Raw genomic sequence first — 19318 nt, forward strand, 5'->3', positions numbered from 1 at the left:
GTCCCCTGAAGTGTCTTCATTACTGATCAATCAACTCCAAAGGAAACAACATATATACTTGACATGTCTAAATATATTAAAGTGTGTCTTACTGAAAAATAACAAAGTAGAGAAAAATGAGAGATTAAGCATGTTGTATTCATATTATTTGAGGAAATGAGATATATTTCTATGTCAAAGAAATGTCTGTTTTTTTCTTGAAGCTAAGCTTTCTATAAAAGCTTTTTCATAACAGTGGTTTAACAACTCGCATGGTATAACAAATAGAATTAGTTTTAGCAAAGCAAAGCAATTGTAGAATTCATTCCTTGAACAATAAAACTGTTATTTTCAATAACCATTATTCTAACATTGAAATATGCAGGTTAATGATATGTAAAAAGTCTCTGGAAATTGACATCTAATTTTTGATACTTTCATATCAGGTGTTTTTTCTTTTGTTGAGACAGAGTCTCGCTCTGTCATCCAGGCTGGAGTGCAGGGGCATGATCTTGACTCACTGCCACCTGGGCCTCCTGGGTTCAAGTGATTCTCACAGCTCCGGCTCCCAAGTAGCTGCGGTTACAGGCATGTGCCACCATACCTGGATGATTTTTGTATTTTTTGTGGAGACAGGGTTTCGCTATTTTGGCCAGGCTGCTTTGGAACTCCTGGCCTTGAGAGATCCACCCTCTTCGGGTTTCCAAGGTTCTGGAGATACAGGCATGAGCCACGGCACCTGGACTGTATTAGTTTGTGGATGGGTGTGCTTTGACTTTTCTGTATAAGTGGATCAGGAAATTTTGAGAGGACTAAACCAGAGAACCCCATAAATGTAAAAATACTCCTATATCACAGAGTATCAAAAATAAATATATTCATAACTTTTATTCTATAAGTAGATATTTATGCTGATAAATTTAGAACATCCTCTGCAATGATAAGTAAATTGTACCTTTGAATTCTCATCGGAGCTTTGCAATTCTTAAATTACAGGACAAATTGAAGAACATAATAGCTACTTGCAGTATATTGACATAAGAGATTCTGATGTGTTTCCTTAACAATATGTCATAGCATTCTACCATTACCTAGGACTTATTTTTTTTTTGGCGGGGGGTCATGACTTGGTCATCTTAATAAATTCAACTTCTTTCCCTATACGGCAGATTAATCTTACTGGTATTAGGATTTTTCTACTTTAGTTATTGTCAGTTGAAATATATTTTGACTGTTGAAATCTTCATAGCACGTTTGATGAAATTTATTTTTTAAATTTTCTTAAGTATATTTCTGTCCCATTGGCATGTTAACAAATACAAAAACCCAAAAGACCCCAAAACCTAGTGTAATCCCTTTTCAATCCAAGCATGAGGACTCATCTTCATATTCACATTGTACGAATGCTTGGTAGGCTTTGTCAGGCTTGCATATAATCAATTATATATGTCCCTTTTCTTTTAGAGTCTCCTGATAAAGATGGTCTTCTGAAGGTAATTACTTTTATATTTCTATGTTGAATATTAACTACATATTTTTGAAGTATACATTATATATTAATTTTTGTGTTTCCAAACCCATTTAGCCTACCTGTGGAAGGAAAGTTTCTCTTCCAAATAAAGCCTTAGAATTAAAGGACAGAGAAACACTCAAAGCAGGTAAATTTTGTAATTTAAATTTTAATCTGGAATTAAGAATATTAAACTATTTGAAATGCCAAGAGCCTTTTATTCCCAATGTTGTTTTCTTTAGAAAATTTGGTGGGAAAATTTGATACAAATAATGCAAATGTTAGTATTTATGTTTGAGAAAATGTCATTTAGAAGCATAAGATTTAGAGATAAAAAAAATTCAGCTTTGCCTCATGTGGATATCTGTCCAGCAGCCTGCAATGCAATGGGGCCTTGTCTTTGTTCCCAGGTGGATCGGCAGGTTGAGAAAGAATAGACACAGACAAGATAGTGAAAGCTGGGTCCAGGGGAATCACAGCCTTGTGTTCCCGTGGTGCCAACAATTCACTAGATATACCCGCATTTACTATTAAGTTTAGTGAGGGTGGGGGTGGGTTAATGAGGGATTTAGGGTCATTTGATTTTGAGGTGAGATGGTCACATGGGGATGAAGTAATTCTTTAACTAACATCTGTATGCAGAAATACAGTACACAGGGATAAGAATTTACAATATAGTGTGTGCATCGGTAATTTCTAACAGAGCCTTAAAAAAGAAACACAGTCTTTCCATAACCTATGATTAGCAAGATATTAATCAGCAGTAACAGTTGCAGCAAAAGCTGGTTAGAAACAATCCATAGAAACACAATGTGAAGCTAGACAACTGGTTAGACCAGAAATTCTCAGAAGGGAGTATGCCTTAACCCTAAAGAGGCCTAGAAGAGCCATGGCGAGATGAGGGCGTTCATAGCACTATCTTATCCATATGGACAGGCACCCCCCATGCATCTGTTTATAGGCTCTCCACAAGGGTAGCATTCCATTCCCAGAGCTATGAACATATGCCTTTCTGGGATAGGAATCTTGGTGATGCAAAACCTCCCTGACTGCACGTCCATTCACAGGCTCTCTGCAGGGGGAAACACATCACGCGCTGTTGGCTCATTCTGGCAGTCCAACCTGGCATTGTCTTTACACAATCCTGCATGCAATTTTGTTTTACAATAATCAGGAGCATTGCATCTTTCATTCCATAGCAATAGTTTCAGGGAGTCTTCCTACAGTTGACATGTTAACAAATACAATAACCCAAAAGACCCCAAAACCTAGTGTAATCCCTTTTCAATCCAAGCATGAGGATTCATCTTCATATTCACACTCTATGAACATTTGGTAGGCTTTGTCAGGCTTGCATATAATCAATTATATATGTCCCTTTTCTTTTAGAGTCTCCTGATAAAGATGGTCTTCTGAAGGTAATAACTTTTATATTTTTATCTTGAATATTACCTACATATTTTATGAAGTATACATTATCTATTAATTTTTGTGTTTCCAAACCCATTTAGCCTACCTGTGTAAGGAAAGTTTCTCTTCCAAATAAAGCCTTAGAATTAAAGGACAGAGAAACATTAAAAGCAGGTAAACTTTGTAATTTAAATTTTACTCTGGAATTAAGAATATTAAACTATTTGAAATGCTGAGAGCCTTTTATTCCCAAAGTTGTTTTCTTTTGAAAATTTGATGGGAAAATTTGATACAAATAATGCAAATGTTAGTATTTATGTTTGAGAAAATGCCATTTAGAAGCATAAGAATTAGGGATTTAGAAAAAAATTCTGCTTTACGTCATGTGGTTCTTCTTTAATATCCCGATAGTGTAAAGTTTCCAATTTGCAATTTCTGTACGTGCTCAGTTTTACGGCAGGTGAATTTTGAAACTGTGAAATATTTTCAGTGGTTCAAATGCTGACTGGAATTCTGATCTTTACTTTGAGGAAAGTTTCACTTGCTGACGTGACAGTTGTGAGTGTTGTCATTCTGAGAATCTAAAGAAAATCAGTTTCTTGTTTTTCTGATTAGGTGACTGAGTGTGTGTGTGTGTGTGACATATAATTTTTAAAAATCACTACTTGATGACTCTTTGCTAGACACACTGTTTTAGAAGTGTGACTCTAAAGCTTTTGGCCTTGGTGTCTTTTTATGCTACTGTAATTAATTGCCTAGAGGTACAAAACAGCCTGAATTAATTTTTGTTGTCATTCCCATGCATGTTTAAATCATGTTACAACAGGCTGTGCATGGTGGCACATGCCTGTAATCCTGGCAATTTAGGAGACCAAGGTGGGCAGATTACTTAAGGTCAGGAGTCGCAGACGAGCCTGGTCAACACAGTGAAACCCCATCGCTACTAAAAATAACAAACAATAGCCGGTTGTGGTGGTGGGTGCCCGTAATCTCAGCTATTCTGGAGGCTGAGGCAGGAGAATTGCTTGAACCCATGAGGCAGAAGTTGCAGTGAGCCAAGCTTGTGCCACTTTAGCCTGAGTGACAGAGTGAGACTCCATCTCAAAAAGCAAACAAACAACCATAAATTCACAACATATGTGTGTGGTTCTGACTATGTGTAGAATTTGTTTTGACGTCTTAAATTTTCTTTTTTTTTTAAATTTTGATATGGCGTCTCGCTGTCTCGCCCATCTCGTTGTCTCGCCCAGGCTGGAGAGCAGTGGTGTGATCTTGGCGCACTGCAAGCTCCACCTCCCGGCTTCACGCCATTCTCCTGCCTGGGCCTCCCAAGTAGCTGGGAATCCAGGCGCCCACCACAACGCCTGGCTCATTCTTTGTATTTTTAGTAGAAACGGGGTTTCACCATGTTAGCCAGGATGGTCTTGACCTGCTGACCTTGTAATCCACCCACCTCGGCCTCCTAAAGTGCTGGGATTAGAGGCGTGAGCCACCGCGCCCGGCCCAGAGTCTTTTTACACTAGTACCATTTATTGCCTAGAAGTAACCAATATTCTAAACTACTTTTTAAAAGTATTCTTATGCATGTTTAAACATTTTCCAACATGTGTACGTGGTCATATTTAATACATAAAATTTTTTTCAACTTCTAATGCATAGGTGGTTGTACAGTGTAATTTTTGACAACATTCTGTTTTGATCAGCATTATAATTTTTAGAGACGTCCATAAAGGACACAATTAACTGTCTTTTTAAATGTCAGATTGTTTATAAAATTCCATTAAGTACACAATTATTATGCTGATAAATAAAAATGAAAACATGAAAATTTCAGAGTCTTTAAGTTAGTTATATCTACTGACTTTTTAGTTGTGAGAAATTAAAACTAAAATATTTAAAGTATTTCCTTGTGCAATCATACATTCCACTAACAATTCCAACTGCGACCCACAGATTATTAGAGCTATGCTACTGCAACACATTAGATCTCTGAAACGATCCAGGGTACACTTCTAAACATGAGTGAAAATGGTGGCATACCAAAGTATGATTTTAGTTTCTTGGTCCCTCTGCATGAAATGTGAACTTTAGGGATGCTGAGATTACATGTTAAATTTACTTTTAAAAACCAGATACACAGTTGATGGATGTCAAATGATAAACGTACCTTTAACGATGATACAGTCTTTTAGGCTTTAGTCGTGCATGTTTGCTTTTTTCTTTAACCTGATTCAAAGAGTTGTAATGTGTACTTTTGGTTGATAAACAAAGCTGAACGTTATTTTTGGTATAAATTCATTTTCTGTCTCATTGGCCTGAGAGCTCCTCAAGTCTTGTGTGGGCCTTGATTTTATCCTATAACATGTGGGGATGTGAGATTACTTAGGGCAATTATTTTTTCCTATACATTTCTGATGTTTCTCCTAGTTGTCACAAGCTGACTCTGAAGACATTGTTGAGTTAGGGGAGAACTATGTCATTGTAATTAAAGCAGTTCTTAATTTATATGCAATAAAAGTTTTTTAAGCTTATCTTCCTAAAACATATAGACACCCAAAACACACCCAATATACTGTCATGGCATATTGAAATGTAAAAGTGTTGGACATATAGTTTACTAACATCAGAAAGTTAATATCCCTAAAAAATCTTGTTCGTTGATAAATCATCTTTTTTGAAGAACTGTGTAATAGAGATTGCAGAGTCAATCAAACTAAGTAATACTAGAAAATAAAAATTTACAAAGAAGTGAGAGATGATAGGTAATTAAAGTTTTCTGAATGAACAGCAAGTATAGGACACACTGTGTTTCACGGGAGAAGAGGATGTAACTGCTTTGTGAAGAAATAACTCTACGAGTTAGTCAAATTTCTATTTTTCTGCATTCTAACGAATGATATAATGTTAATTTTCCGTTTTTTTAGATTTCATTTCTAACGGATTGACTATAGAAGTAGTGATTGTAATCAACAAAAAGAATATACGGGCTACAGAGGAAAAACCGCAGATTCGTGAATGAAAGTAGATTTATATATGTTTTTAAAGTTTATAGTAGAGAAATGTTCTCATGAATGTATCTGTGATTAACCTTTTATAGCTCAGATGTTCCCATCAGAATCCAAACAAAAGGATGATGAAGAAAATTCTTGGGATTTTGAGGTACTGTGTATTATTAATTTTCTTTAATACTAGTATTGCATGATACAAAAACATAAAAGCAGAGGCTTAGACTTTATTTTCTCACCTCTGCATATGTCACTCCCAAATTATTTTTGATATTTTTCAGAATACGCTTAATAGAGGATCTATGTGCTAAGTAGATGACTGCTTCGTAGTGAAATTCTGCTAATTTTCAGGCTTAATTTAAGAAGCCGGTGTGGTATAGTGTAAAAAATAAGGCTTAGAAGTCACTAGAAATTCACATGGGATCTGAAGCAAGTTTGTCTAAAAGCAAAAGAATTACACTGAGTCCAGCTGTGGGCAAATTTATGATTCTGTGGTGTATCTAGATGTGCAAAAGTTCTAACTGGATTCGTAGAGAGACAGTTTAAACTGCAGTATTGTAAAAGTTGGGACCTGAAAAGTTAATGCCTGGGACTTGAATGTATTGACATTTCTGTATTGTTCAGTATAGATCTGAGGGAACATTTCAGGAGAAAGAGGAGCATGAGGACTAGGAAACCTTGTGGGACTACAGTAACAAGAGTATTGGTTGAGTAATCTTTTGAAAAATATAAATTATTTTCACAAGTAGAACTCCTCGAGTCCCTTTGTGGCAGGCAGTCAAGCTGCAGCAGCATGAGTGTGAAATAATAGTGATGTATTTTAAGGTCACAACTGTGGAAAGACATAGAAAATATCTGACCTCTTAGAAACAAGCAGCTGCTGCCTGGTGGTAAGAGCAAAGGGTGGAAGTCAGTAGACAAGTAGATTTTATCTGATTTGTCGTCAGACAAAAAGACTTTAATATTTGTTGGCTTTCATTTAGACATGACATAATTTCTTTTCTTACTGCATTTACATTCTCTTCAAGCACTTTTTCTATCAGCATAAATTTTGTCAAAAACATGTTGCTTGTTTTAAGCCCCTGTTTACCAAAATAAAGCAACTTTTTAAACATTCCGTGCATGCATTATATGACAGACTCTAAAAGTTCTCTTCACGGCATGCATCATTTTTAACACTAAACAATCTATGATCATGAATATTTTAAATGTTTAATGCAGTACGTGTTATGGCTAGTAGCAAGTGTATTGTATTTTGTTTGAAATGGCGTATTTACTTTTAATGAGGACTACAACACAAGTTAGATATTTTTAAGAGAGTTACTTTCTGAAATATGCACGAGTGAATTCTTTCGTGAGTGTGATTTGTTTTTCCTGCTCAGTAACCAAGTTAATAGCCTCATGAACGTAAAGGTAAGTTGATGTGGAGAGTGTTATGTGAGGTTTTCTATCAGAATGTTTTGGGTTTCAACACATGTCTGCTCTTAAGTCGAATTCCTTATAAAGTAGGAAACTGTGTTTTTAGAAAAGATTTTAATTAGGAACTTTTGATACTCTTCATTATTGGGATTTCTCCATTGAAATTATTTATTGATATTACTTTTAACAGAGTTTCCTTGAGGCTCTCTTACAGAATGATGGGTGTTTACCCAAGGCTACACATCAAAAAGAATTCGATACCTTAAGTGGAAAATTAGAAGGTAAGAACCATATTTTATTTAAAAAGTCATTTGACCAAATGTTTCTCTGAACTGATGAGGAGGGATATCCCCTAATAGCTGAAGAAAATTACCTCCTGAATGCAAAGCATGGAAAAAAAGAGAAGTGAAATGGTGATAAGTTATACGTCTTATCATGTGTTGGCAGCAGACTACATAGAGAGTGCTGGAAAGGAACTGAATTATTAGTTTGAATTCAAGGTATTCCAAGAGCTGAGGAAAATGAGAAAATAAGAAAGGAGAAAGTAGTAAAAGAGGAAATGAAGATCGAGAAAGACAGAGAGTACAGAGAGGACGGGAAGGAACAAGAGGCAGGTTTATATAATGGAGGATGGTAAAATGAAATGATTCTTTAGGAAAAGATCGGGTATGGTTAGAAATTTGGGAAGAATATAAAGTGACTTTCCAGTGCCAAAACATACCAGAGAATTACAGCAAAAATATTCTGACTCTTCCTGTCTTTCTCACTGGTGGGAAGCCATTAGGGATGGAAGCAGCTGACCATGGAGAGCTGTGTTCTATTTGCAATAGTTGAGAATAAGCATATATGCACGGCCACACATGTATATAATTTGTCATATACACTCCGTATAGACCGTAAGTTTTCAAACTTTAGAAAACCGTCTGAAAACCTTGTTAACAATTCACACTGTGATTCAGCCGACTAGGGATTCTGCATTTTTAGTAAGTTGTCAGGCGATGCTGATGCTGGTGGTCCTTGGACCTCAGACTGAGTAGCAAGAGGAGAGGCCTTTCATGGGAAAAATGTGGAAGAAGAGTAATTGGATAGAGGGTCAAAAGGAGAGGCCTTTCATGGGAGAAATGTGGAAGAAGAGTAATTGGATAAAGGGTCAAGACAGAAAAGGTTAGGAGAAAGCGTTATGTTGCTCTTACTTTTGAGTATGTTTTTAGCCAGAGAAGAAGAAAGAAAATTCTGAATTTATTGCTTGAATACCTAAATTGTTCTTATTCATAGGTATTATAGTGATTTTAACATAGAAAATGTTATTAATATTTAATAAGTCTGTTGCAACTAAATTTAAAACAAATATGTCAATATTGAAAGCTTATTATATTTGCTATTCCTGATGAGTTTTGTACATCTTCCTCCATGAGTGGATCAAGGAATATTGAGATGGCTAAGCTACAAAGTACAAAAATGTTGGCATACCGTTATGCCATATGGGTGTGAAAATTAGTGGATATTTATATTTAGTATTATTCTCTAAGTATATATCCAAGCTGATCAATTCATAACACTTTCACTGCTGAGATGTCAGTTCTACATTCAGCTGAACTCTCATCCAAACTTTTTACCTTCTCAGTGACAGGACATATTAAAGAACATGGTGAATATTTGTAATGTAATGATATAAATTATTATAATGTGTTGCATTAAAGACACATGGTATAGCATTCTACGTTCAGCTTTTGCATTTATTTTCTCAGTGTCACGATTTGCTCCTCTGATTCAGGATCACTTATCTCCTCATCACTCAGCATATACACATTGGCATTAACACTTTTTGCAAAAATCACATATAAATGTTTGTAGAATGTTCTTGTCATTCCACAGTGATTTTTTATTTTTTTGTTCAGCGATTAGCTCGTTTTTCATTTATTTCAAGATTTCAGGCCGGGCACTGTGGTTCACGCCTGTAATCCCAGCCCTTTGGGAGGCAGAGGCATGCGGATCACGAGGTCAGCAGATCGAGACCATCCTGGCTAACATGGTGAAACCCCGTCTCTATGAAAAAATACAAAAAATTAGCCAAGCATGGTGGTGGGTGCCTCTAGTCCCAGCTACTCGGGAGGCTGAGGCAGGAGAATGTGAGAACCCATGAGGCAGAGATTGCAGTGAGCCAAGATCATGCACCTACACTCCAGCCTGGGTGACAGGGCCAGACTCTGTGAAAAAAAAAAAAAAAAAAGAATTTATTTATTGTGGCACTATTCACAACAGCAAAGACTTGGAACCAAACCAAATGTCCAACAACGCTAGACTGGATTAAGAAAGTATGGCACATATACACCATGGAACACTACGCAGCCATAAAAAATGATAAGTTCATGTCCTTTGTAGGGACATGAATGAAACTGGAAACCATCATTCTCAGCAAACTCTCGCAAGGACAAAAAACCAAACACTGCGTGTTCTCACTCATAGGTGTGAATTGAACAATGAGAACACATGGACACAGGAAGGGGAACATCACACTCCGGGGACTGTTGTGGGGTTGGAGGAGGGATAGCATTAGGAGATATACCTAATGCTAAATGACGAGTTAATGGGAACCTGCACATTGTGCACATGTACCCTAAAACTTAAAGTATAATATTAAAATAAAAAATAAAGAAAACATTTCTGACTGTGCATTTTTACTTTGCACTACGTTTAATTAGACTCTCTTCATGATGACTCAAAAGCAACATAAATATAATTACAGATGTCAACAAGGTTTTGTTTAAGTGTATGTCTTACTTCATGCTATATTAGAAATTAAAAGTGAAGTAATTAAAATGCAAGGATTCACAGCCATACATTTCAATAGCCATTACAAATGTGGCTCACTAATCTTTAGAGCCATGCCATGTGACCTGTCCTGACTCTAAAAAACTCCAGTGTACACCTTTATAAAAATAAAAGTAATAAAAAAATAACAAAGGCAGTATTCCCCTGCTTCCTTCCTCTGCATGGATTTTGAACTTCAGGGGTAATCAGATCACAATTTAGAACCAGAGTTTTCAACCATACATAGGATTCCTAAATGCCAAGTGATAAACGGTTCGTTGATGATGAGATAGCTCTGAATGTTTCATCTCTGCATGTTTTGCTTTTTTATCTTGTCTTAGAAAGGTCAAAGCCAGCTATTTTCTTCATAAAGGAAAATATTTTGGTTACATATTCATTTCCTATCTCATGACACTCTGCTTTCTTTGCACTTAGTGAGGATGTACATTTATCATATTTTTACCTAAAACAAACAGATGTATTAATGGTATCATTATATATGAAATTCTGAGGTTTCTTCAGTGCTTCAGAAGTAAAGTTTAAAGATATTAATGAATCGAGAATGACCTTCTCATCATAATTAAAGCAGGTTTTTATTTAAAGTGTGTTGAATACAATTTTAAGCACTTTTTTTATAAAACACCTACCTGCAATATGGTCATGTATTTAGCCTTAAAATGCTTGGACATAAATTTTTTGTGTTTTAGAGAGTTTATATCCCTGAAGTGTCTTCATTATTGATCAATCATCTCTGAAGGGAAACAGCATATATACTTGATATGTCTAAATATATTAAAGTATGTTGTACTGAGAAATAAAAAGTAGAGAAAAATGAGAGATTAAGCATGTTTTATTCATATTATTTGATGAAAGGAGATATATTTCTATGTCAAAGAAATGTCTGTTTTTTCTTGAAGCTAAGTTTTTTATAAGAGCTTTTTCATAACAGTGTTTTAGCAACTCGCATTGTATAACAAACAGAATTAGTTTTAGCAACAAAATAATAAAACTGTTATTTTCAGTAACCATTATTCTAACATTGAAATATGCAGGTTAATGATATATAAAAATTCTCTGGAAATTGACTTCTAATTTTTGATACTTTCATATTAGGTGTTTTTTCTTTTTTTTAATTATACTTTAAGTTTTAGGGTACATGTGCACATTGTGCAGGTTAGTTACATATGTATACATGTGCCATGCTGGTGCGCTGCACCCACCAACTCGTCATCTACCATTAGGTATATCTCCTAATGCTATCCCTCCCCCCTCCCCCCACCCTACAACAGTCCCCAGAGTGTGATGTTCCCCTTCCTGTGTCCATGTGTTCTCATTGTTCATTTCCCACCTATTAGTGAGAATATGCGGTGTTTGGTTTCTTGTTCTTGTGATAGTTTACTGAGAATGATGATTTCCAGTTTCATCCATGTCCCTACAAAGGACATGAACTCATCATTTTTTATGGCTGCATAGAATTCCATGGTGTATATGTGCCACATTTTCTTAATCCAGTCTATCATTGTTGGATATTTGGGTTGGTTCCAAGTCTTTGCTATTGTGAATAATGCTGCAATAAACATACGTGTGCATGTGTCGTTATAGCAGCATGATTTATAGTCCTTTGGGTATATACCCAGTAATGGGATGGCTGGGTCAAATGGTATTTCCAGTTCTAGATCCCTGAGGAATCGCCACACTGACTTCCACAATGGTTGAACTAGTTTACAGTCCCACCAACAGTGTCAAAGTGTTCCTATTTCTCCACATCCTCTCCAGCACCTGTGGTTTTCTGACTTTTTAATGATTGCCATTCTAACTGGTGTGAGATGGTATCTCATAGTGGTTTTGATTTGCATTTCTCTGATGGCCAGTGATGATGAGCATTTTTTCATGTGTTTTTTGGCTGCATAAATGTCTTCTTTTGAGAAGTGTCTGTTCATGTCCTTCGCCCACTTTTTGATGGGGTTGTTTGTTTTTTTCTTGTAAATTTGTTTGAGTTCATTGTAGATTCTGGATATTAGCCCTTTGTCAGATGAGTAGGTTGCGAAAATTTTCTCCCATTCTGTAGGTTGCCTGTTCACTCTGATGGTAGTTTCCTTTGCTGTGCAGAAGCTCTTTAGTTTAATTAGATCCCATTTGTCAATTTTGTCTTTTGTTGCCATTGCTTTTGGTGTTTTAGACATGAAGTCCTTGCCCATGCCTATGTCCTGAATGGTAATGCCTAGGTTTTCTTCTAGGGTTTTTATGGTTTTAGGTCTAACGTTTAAGTCTTTAATCCATCTTGAATTACTTTTTGTATAAGGTGTAAGGAAGGGATCCAGTTTCAGCTTTCTACATATGGCTCGCCAGTTTTCCCAGCACCATTTATTAAATAGGGAATCCTTTCCCCATTGCTTGTTTTTCTCAGGTTTGTCAAAGATCAGATAGTTGTAGATATGTGGCGTTATTTCTGAGGGCTCTGTTCTGTTCCATTGATCTATATCTCTGTTTCGGTACCAGTACCATGCTGTTTTGGTTACTGTAGCCTTGTAGTATAGTTTGAAGTCAGGTACTGTGATGCCTCCAGCTTTGTTCTTTTGGCTTAGGATTGACTTGGCGACACGGGCTCATTTTTGGTTCCATATGAACTTTAAAGTAGTTTTTTCCAATTCTGTGAAGAAAGTCATTGGTAGCTTGATGGGGATGGCATTGAATCTGTAAATAACCTTGGGCAGTATGGCCATTTTCACGATATTGATTCTTCCTACCCATGAGCATGGAATGTTCTTCCATTTGTTTTATCCTCTTTTATTTCATTGAGCAGTGGTTTGTAGTTCTCCTTGAAGAGGTCCTTCACATCCCTTGTAAGTTGGATTCCTATTTATTTTATTCTCTTTGAAGCAATTGTGAATGGGAGTTCACTCATGATTTGGCTCTCTGTTTGTCTGTTATTGGTGTATAAGAATGCTTGTGATTTTTGTACATTGATTTTGTATCCTGAGACTTTGCTGAATTTGCTTATCAGCTTAAGGAGATTTTGGGTTGAGACAATGGGGTTTTCTAGATATACAATCATGTCGTTTGCAAAGAGGGACAATTTGACTTCCTCTTTTCCTAATTAAATACCCTTTATTTCCTTCTCCTGCCTCATTGCCCTGGCCAGAACTTCCAACACTATGTTGAACAGGAGTGGTGAGAGAGGGCATCCCTGTATTGTGCCAGTTTTCAAAGGGAATGCTTCCAGTTTTTGCCCATTCAGTATGATATTGGCTGTGGGTTTGTCATAGATAGCTCTTATTATTTTGAGATACATCCCATCAATACCTAATTTATTGAGTGTTTTTAGCATGAAGGGTTGTTGAATTTTGTCAAAGGCTTTTTCTGCATCTATTGAGATAATCATGTGTTTTTTGTCTTTGGCTCTGTTTATATGCTGGATTACATTTATTGATTTGCATATATTGAACCAGCCTTGCATCCCAGGGATGAAGCCCACTTGATCATGGTGGATAAGCTTTTTGATGTGCTGCTGGATTCATTTTGCCAGTATTTTATTGAGGATTTTTGCATCAATGTTCATCAAGGATATTGGTCTAAAATTCTCTTTTTCTGTTGTGTCTCTGCCCGGCTTTGGTATCAGAATGATGCTGGCCTCATAAAATGAGTTAGGGAGGATTCCCTCTTTTTCTATTGATTGGAATAGTTTCAGAAGGAATGGTACCAGTTCCTCCTTGTACCACTGGTAGAATTCGGCTGTGAATCCATCTGGTCCTGGACTCTTTTTGGTTGGTAAACTATTGATTATTGCCACAATTTCAGATCCTGTTATTGTTCTATTCAGAGATTCAACTTCTTCCTGGTTTAGTCTTGGGAGAGTGTGTGTATCGAGGAATTTATCTATTTATTCTAGATTTTCTAGTTTATTTGCGTAGAGGTGTTTGTAGTATTCTCTGATGGTAGTTTGTATTTCTGTGGGATCGGTGGTGATATCCCCTTTATCATTTTTTATTGCATCTATTTGATTCTTCTCCCTTTTTTTCTTTATTAGTCTTGCTAGCGGTCTATCAATTTTGTTGATCCTTTCAAAAAACCAGCTCCTGGATTCATTAATTTTTTGAACGGTTTTTTGTGTCTCTATTTCCTTCAGTTCTGCTCTGATTTTAGTTATTTCTTGCCTTCTACTAGCTTTTGAATGTGTTTGTTCTTGCTTTTCTAGTTCTTTTAATTGTGATGTTAGGGTGTTTTTTCTTTTGTTGAGACAGAGTCTCACTCTGTCATCCAGGCTGGAGCGCAGTGGCACGATCTTGACTCACTGCCACCTCCGCCTCCTGGGTTCAAGTGATTCTCACAGCTCCGGCTCCCAAGTAGCTGGGGTTACAGGCATGTGCCACCATACCTGGATGATTTTTGTATTTTTTGTGGAGACAGGGTTTCGCTATTTTGGCCAGGCTGCTTTGGAACTCCTGGACTCGAGAGATCCGCCCTCTTCAGGCTTCCAAGGTTCTGGAGTTACAGGCATGAGCCATGGCACCTGGACTGTATTAGTTTGTTGATGGGTATGCTTTGACTTTTCTGTATAAGTGGATCAGGAAATTTTAAGAAGACTAAACTACAGAACCCCAGAAATATAAAAATACTCGTATTTCACAGAGGTTCAAAAATAAATATATTTATAAACTTTCATTCTATAAGTAGATATTTATGCTGTTGAATTTAGAACATTCTCTGCAATGATAAGTAAATTGTACCTTTGAATTCTCATCGGAGCTTTGCAATTCTTAAATTACAGGACAAATTGAAGAACATAATAGCTACTTGTAGTATATTGACATAAGTGATTCTGATGTGTTTCTTTAATAATATGTCATAGCATTCTACCATTAGCTTGGACATTTATTTATTTATTTTTGGTGGAGGGGTCATGTCTTGGTCATCTTACTAAATTCAACCTCTTTCCTTATATGGCAGCTTACTCTTACTGGTATTAGGATTTTCTGCTTTAGTTAATGTCACTTGAAATATATTTTGACTGTTGAAATCTTCACAGCATGTTTGAGGAAATTTATTTTTTAAATTTTCTTAGGTATATTTCTGTCACTCTGGCATGTTAACAAACACAATAACCCAAAAGACCCCAAAACCTAGTGTAATCTCTTTTCAATCCAAGCATGAGGATTCATCTTCATATTCACACTGCATGAATGTTTGGTAGACTTTGACAGGCTTGCGTATAATCAATTATATATGTCCCTTTTCTTTTAGAGTCTCCTGATAAAGATGGTCTTCTGAAGGTAATAACTTTTATATTTTTATCTTGAATATTAACTACTTATTTTATGAAGTATACATTATATAGTAATTATTGTGTTTCCAAACCCATTTAGCCTACCTGTGGAATGAAAATTTCTCTTCCAAATAAAGCCTTAGAATTGAAGGACAGAGAAACATTCAAAGCAGGTAAATTTTGTAATTTTAATTTTACTGTGGAATTAAGAACATTAAAATATTTGAAGTGCCAAGAGCCTTTTTATTCCCAATGTTGTTTTCTTTTCAAAATTGGATGGGAAAATTTGACACAAATAATGCCAATGTTAGTATTCATGTTTGAGAAAATGCCATTTACAAGCGTAAGATTTAGAGATTTAAAAAAAATTCTACTGTACCTCATGTGGTTCTTCTTTAATATCCTGATACTATAAAGTTTCCAATTTGCAATTTCTATACGTGCTTGGTTTTTTTTTTTTTTTTTTTTTTTTTTTTTTTTTTTTTTTTTTTTTTTTTTTTTTTTTTTTTTTTTGAGACGGAGTCTCGCTCTGTCGCCCAGGTCGGACTGCGGACTGCAGTGGCGCAATCTCGGCTCACTGCAAGCTCCGCTTCCCGGGTTCACGCCATTCTCCTGCCTCAGCCTCCCGAGTAGCTGGGACTACAGGCGCCCGCCACCGCGCCCGGCTAATTTTTTGTATTTTTAGTAGAGACGGGGTTTCACCTTGTTAGCCAGGATGGTCTCGATCTCCTGACCTCATGATCCACCCGCCTCGGCCTCCCAAAGTGCTGGGATTACAGGCGTGAGCCACCGCGCCCGGCCACGTGCTTGGTTTTAAGGCAGGTGAATTTTGACACTGTGAAATATTTGCAGTGGTTCAAATGCTGATTGGAATTCTGATCTTTACTTTGAATAAAGTTTCACTTGCTGACATGACAGTTGTGAGTGTTGTCACTCTGAGAATCTAAAGAAAATCGGTTTCTTGTTTTTCTGATTAGGTGATTGTGTGTGTGTGCGTGTGTGACTTATAATTTTTAAAAATCATTACTTGATGACTCTTTGCTAGACACGGTGTTTTAGAAGCGTGACTCTAAAGCACTTGGCCTTAGTATCTTTTTATGCTACTGTAATTAATTGCCTAGAGGTACAAAACAGCCTGAATTAGCTTTTGTTGTCATTCCCATGCATGTTTAAAATATGTTACAACAGGCTGTGCATGGTGGCACATGCCTGTAATCCTAGCATTTTGGGAGACCAAGGTGGGCAGATAACTGAAGGTTAGGAGTTCCAGACCAGCCTGGTCAACATAGTGAAACCCTATCTCTACTAAAAATAACAAACAATAGCCGGTTGTGGTGGTGGGTGCCTGTAATCTCAGCTACTCTTGAGGCTGAGGCAGGAGAATTGCTTGAACCTAAGAGGCAGAAGTTGCAGTGAGCAAAGATCGTGCCACTCCAGCCTTGGTAACAGAGTGAGACTCCCATCTCAAAAAGCAAACAAGCAAACAAACAAAACCCCAGAAATTCACCACATATGTGTGTGGTTCTAGACTATGTCTAGAATTTGTTTTCATGTCTTAAATTTTCAATAAATAGTTGTACACTGTACATATTATTTTGGAACTTCCTTTTTTTTTACTTATCTTATATTTTAGGTGTACTCAATACAGTTAGCTCCGCTTTGATTTCAGGCTTCATAGTTTGCGATTTTAACTCTAAAACACATTTAATTAGGCTGTCTTTCATAGCCACTGAAAGTCAACATCAAATGATAGCTTATATCAGAGAGCTTTTATTGAAGTGGGAATATTTACTGCTTCAACTAATATTAGAAATTAAAATGAAAATATTTAAAATACTGGAATGCATTTTAAATATTTGTGTTTTTGGAGATGGAGTTTCCCTCTTTCGCCCAGGCTGGAGTGCAACGGTGTGATCTTACCTCACTACCCCCTCTGCCTCCTGGACTCAAGTGATTCTCCTCCATCAGCCTCTGAGTACAAATACTCATTTGTAAACCAGTCACTAGAAAAGCAAATGTTCTTACTGTGATTAGCTTAGAATAATGATTTCTCATTTTGTAGATGAGATGGGAGTAATGGAATAATAAATATGTAAATAAACTTGTGTTTCTGCTGTAAGAAAGAAAAAATAATTTCTATGCATTGGAAGCCAGCAATGTTTTCTGCACAGATTCATTGGAATTATTTGAGCAGGGGAGTCCCAAGATTAGATTTAAGTATCAGAGCATTCTGGTCATGGTATAAACCAGACATTGGCAAACTTTTCTTGTAAAGTGCCAAACAGGAAATATATTAGGTGATGTGGTCTCTATCACAGCTTTTCAACTCTACCATTGTAGCATGAAAGCAGTCATAGATAACATGTGAAGAAATAGGTGTGATTGTACTCCTATAAAACTTTGTCTAAAATCCATTTGGTAAGCTGAATTTGGAATTCCATAACCATGGGTTGTGGAATACAACAGTTTGCATTGTGTCCCTTAATTGAGGGACCACGATACCAAGTCTCCACTAGCTTTAAGCAGCTTTTTCAATACTTTCATATACTGTTTCTTTTGTGCTGATAATTGTTGTCCCATGATGAAACCCTCGCCTGAACAATTTCCCCCGAACCTGGAAATCCTGAGCAGGCACCAATGACTTACTCGCTGCCTGTGCAGTTCTTTTCACCTTCATATTTGAGGGTTCCATCACGATCCTTTTGCATAGTTTGTCTTGCCACCTGCCGGGTCCATCCCATGGACACTGACCTAAGTGACAGATGAGAGACATATACTGAAACAGATTTTTTGCCTGTCAGTGCAGCTAAGGGGTTCTGCTGCCTGAGTCTGCATTCTTGGCCTCGATAAGCCTGCAAAGTTCACATTTATTTAGTACAGATTAAATGACAAAACTGTTGAGTAAACATCACTAGAGGGTAATTAAGATTGCCAACCCCCAGTACAAAGCAATCATGCACCCTCGGATGATCAAACTTTTGTCTTAGGACCACGTGAGTAAACAAGGTATTTAGATAAACTCCTCCACATTCCCTAGATATTTGCTCTATTGCTACCAACTCAAAGTAAAGAAGATTAGGCTGTTTTCAGCCAAATCATTTACTGAAGCTATGCAACCCCCCGGCCTTCCAAGAAGGTTTGTGTCTATTTCCTATAACTATCTTTATAATTTTTTTAACCACTTTGTCCGATCCCCTACAGGTAGGGTTGCTTTTTTCCTGTGAAAGCCATCAGTTAAGAGGCCATGTCTAACTAGGAAATATAAATATAAAATAAATAAGTTTGTATTTCCAGTGGCAATGGAAAGATAAAGCAAATGCAGAAAAGAGGTACAGTTAATATGATTTAGTGATTATTGATTTGAAAAAGCTAGGGGAGAGAAGAAATTTCAGGTCATTCATAAGTTTCCACATGGGGAATGCTCATGGGGAAGGAGTAAGAAATTGTCAGGTCAACAGAAAAGTGCAAACAGTCATGGGACAGACCAACCGTTTTCTTTACATATTGAGTTCAATGAAACATTCATGTGGGATATTTTCAGTAGGTAATTGGTTTATACGTATTTCTAGCTGGAGATAGAACTCTGGTTGGAGATGCAGGCTTAGAATAATTTTATTATAATTATTAAGCAAAGCCATAGATCTCACTGAGCTTATCCATGATGCAGAAGATGTAGAATAAGAAGAAAGCCATTGACAAAATCCTGGGAGTATCAACATTTCACAGAGTCACAGGACTTGGTAAAGGAGACTGAGCAGTGGCTAATGAAAAGTAGGAGAGGAGTCAGAGAAAGTGATGTTGCAAATTTCTTTTAAATATGAGAATTTCAGCAGTAAGATTATAACTGAAAAGTCAATTGGATTTAACTTACAAGTTCTACAGTGGTAATCTGTTCAAAAGAATTATTTTAGAGTTGTTAGG

The 19318-nt window shown here is 36.6% G+C and overlaps 1 protein-coding gene across 9 annotated transcripts in view; it reads left to right on the plus strand.

Moving 5' to 3' along the window:
• The window catches only part of ANKRD30B (ankyrin repeat domain 30B), a 192964-nt gene that overhangs the window by 58936 nt on the left and 114710 nt on the right, over positions 1 to 19318 (plus strand). For 7 of the 9 annotated variants that reach the window (XR_007066151.1, XR_007066152.1, XR_935057.3 and 4 more), the window contains exons 25-32: positions 1444 to 1472; positions 1565 to 1637; positions 2879 to 2907; positions 3001 to 3073; positions 5997 to 6058; positions 7514 to 7604; positions 15376 to 15404; positions 15498 to 15570. Coding sequence is in view for 4 of the 9 variants with exons in the window: in NM_001367607.2 (NP_001354536.1) it covers positions 1444 to 1472; positions 1565 to 1637; positions 2879 to 2907; positions 3001 to 3073; positions 5997 to 6058; positions 7514 to 7604; positions 15376 to 15404; positions 15498 to 15570 (459 nt within the window). In the remaining 5 variants the exon portion in view is untranslated. Of the gene's footprint in view, positions 1 to 1443; positions 1473 to 1564; positions 1638 to 2878; positions 2908 to 3000; positions 3074 to 5996; positions 6059 to 7513; positions 7605 to 9250; positions 9985 to 15375; positions 15405 to 15497; positions 15571 to 19318 lie in introns of those variants that run through there. The other 2 variants (NR_160272.1, XM_011525666.3) reach the window with 2 other exon arrangements.

The sequence above is a fragment of the Homo sapiens genome, chromosome 18 (assembly GCF_000001405.40).
Source record: "Homo sapiens chromosome 18, GRCh38.p14 Primary Assembly".
Taxonomy (NCBI): domain Eukaryota; kingdom Metazoa; phylum Chordata; class Mammalia; order Primates; family Hominidae; genus Homo; species Homo sapiens.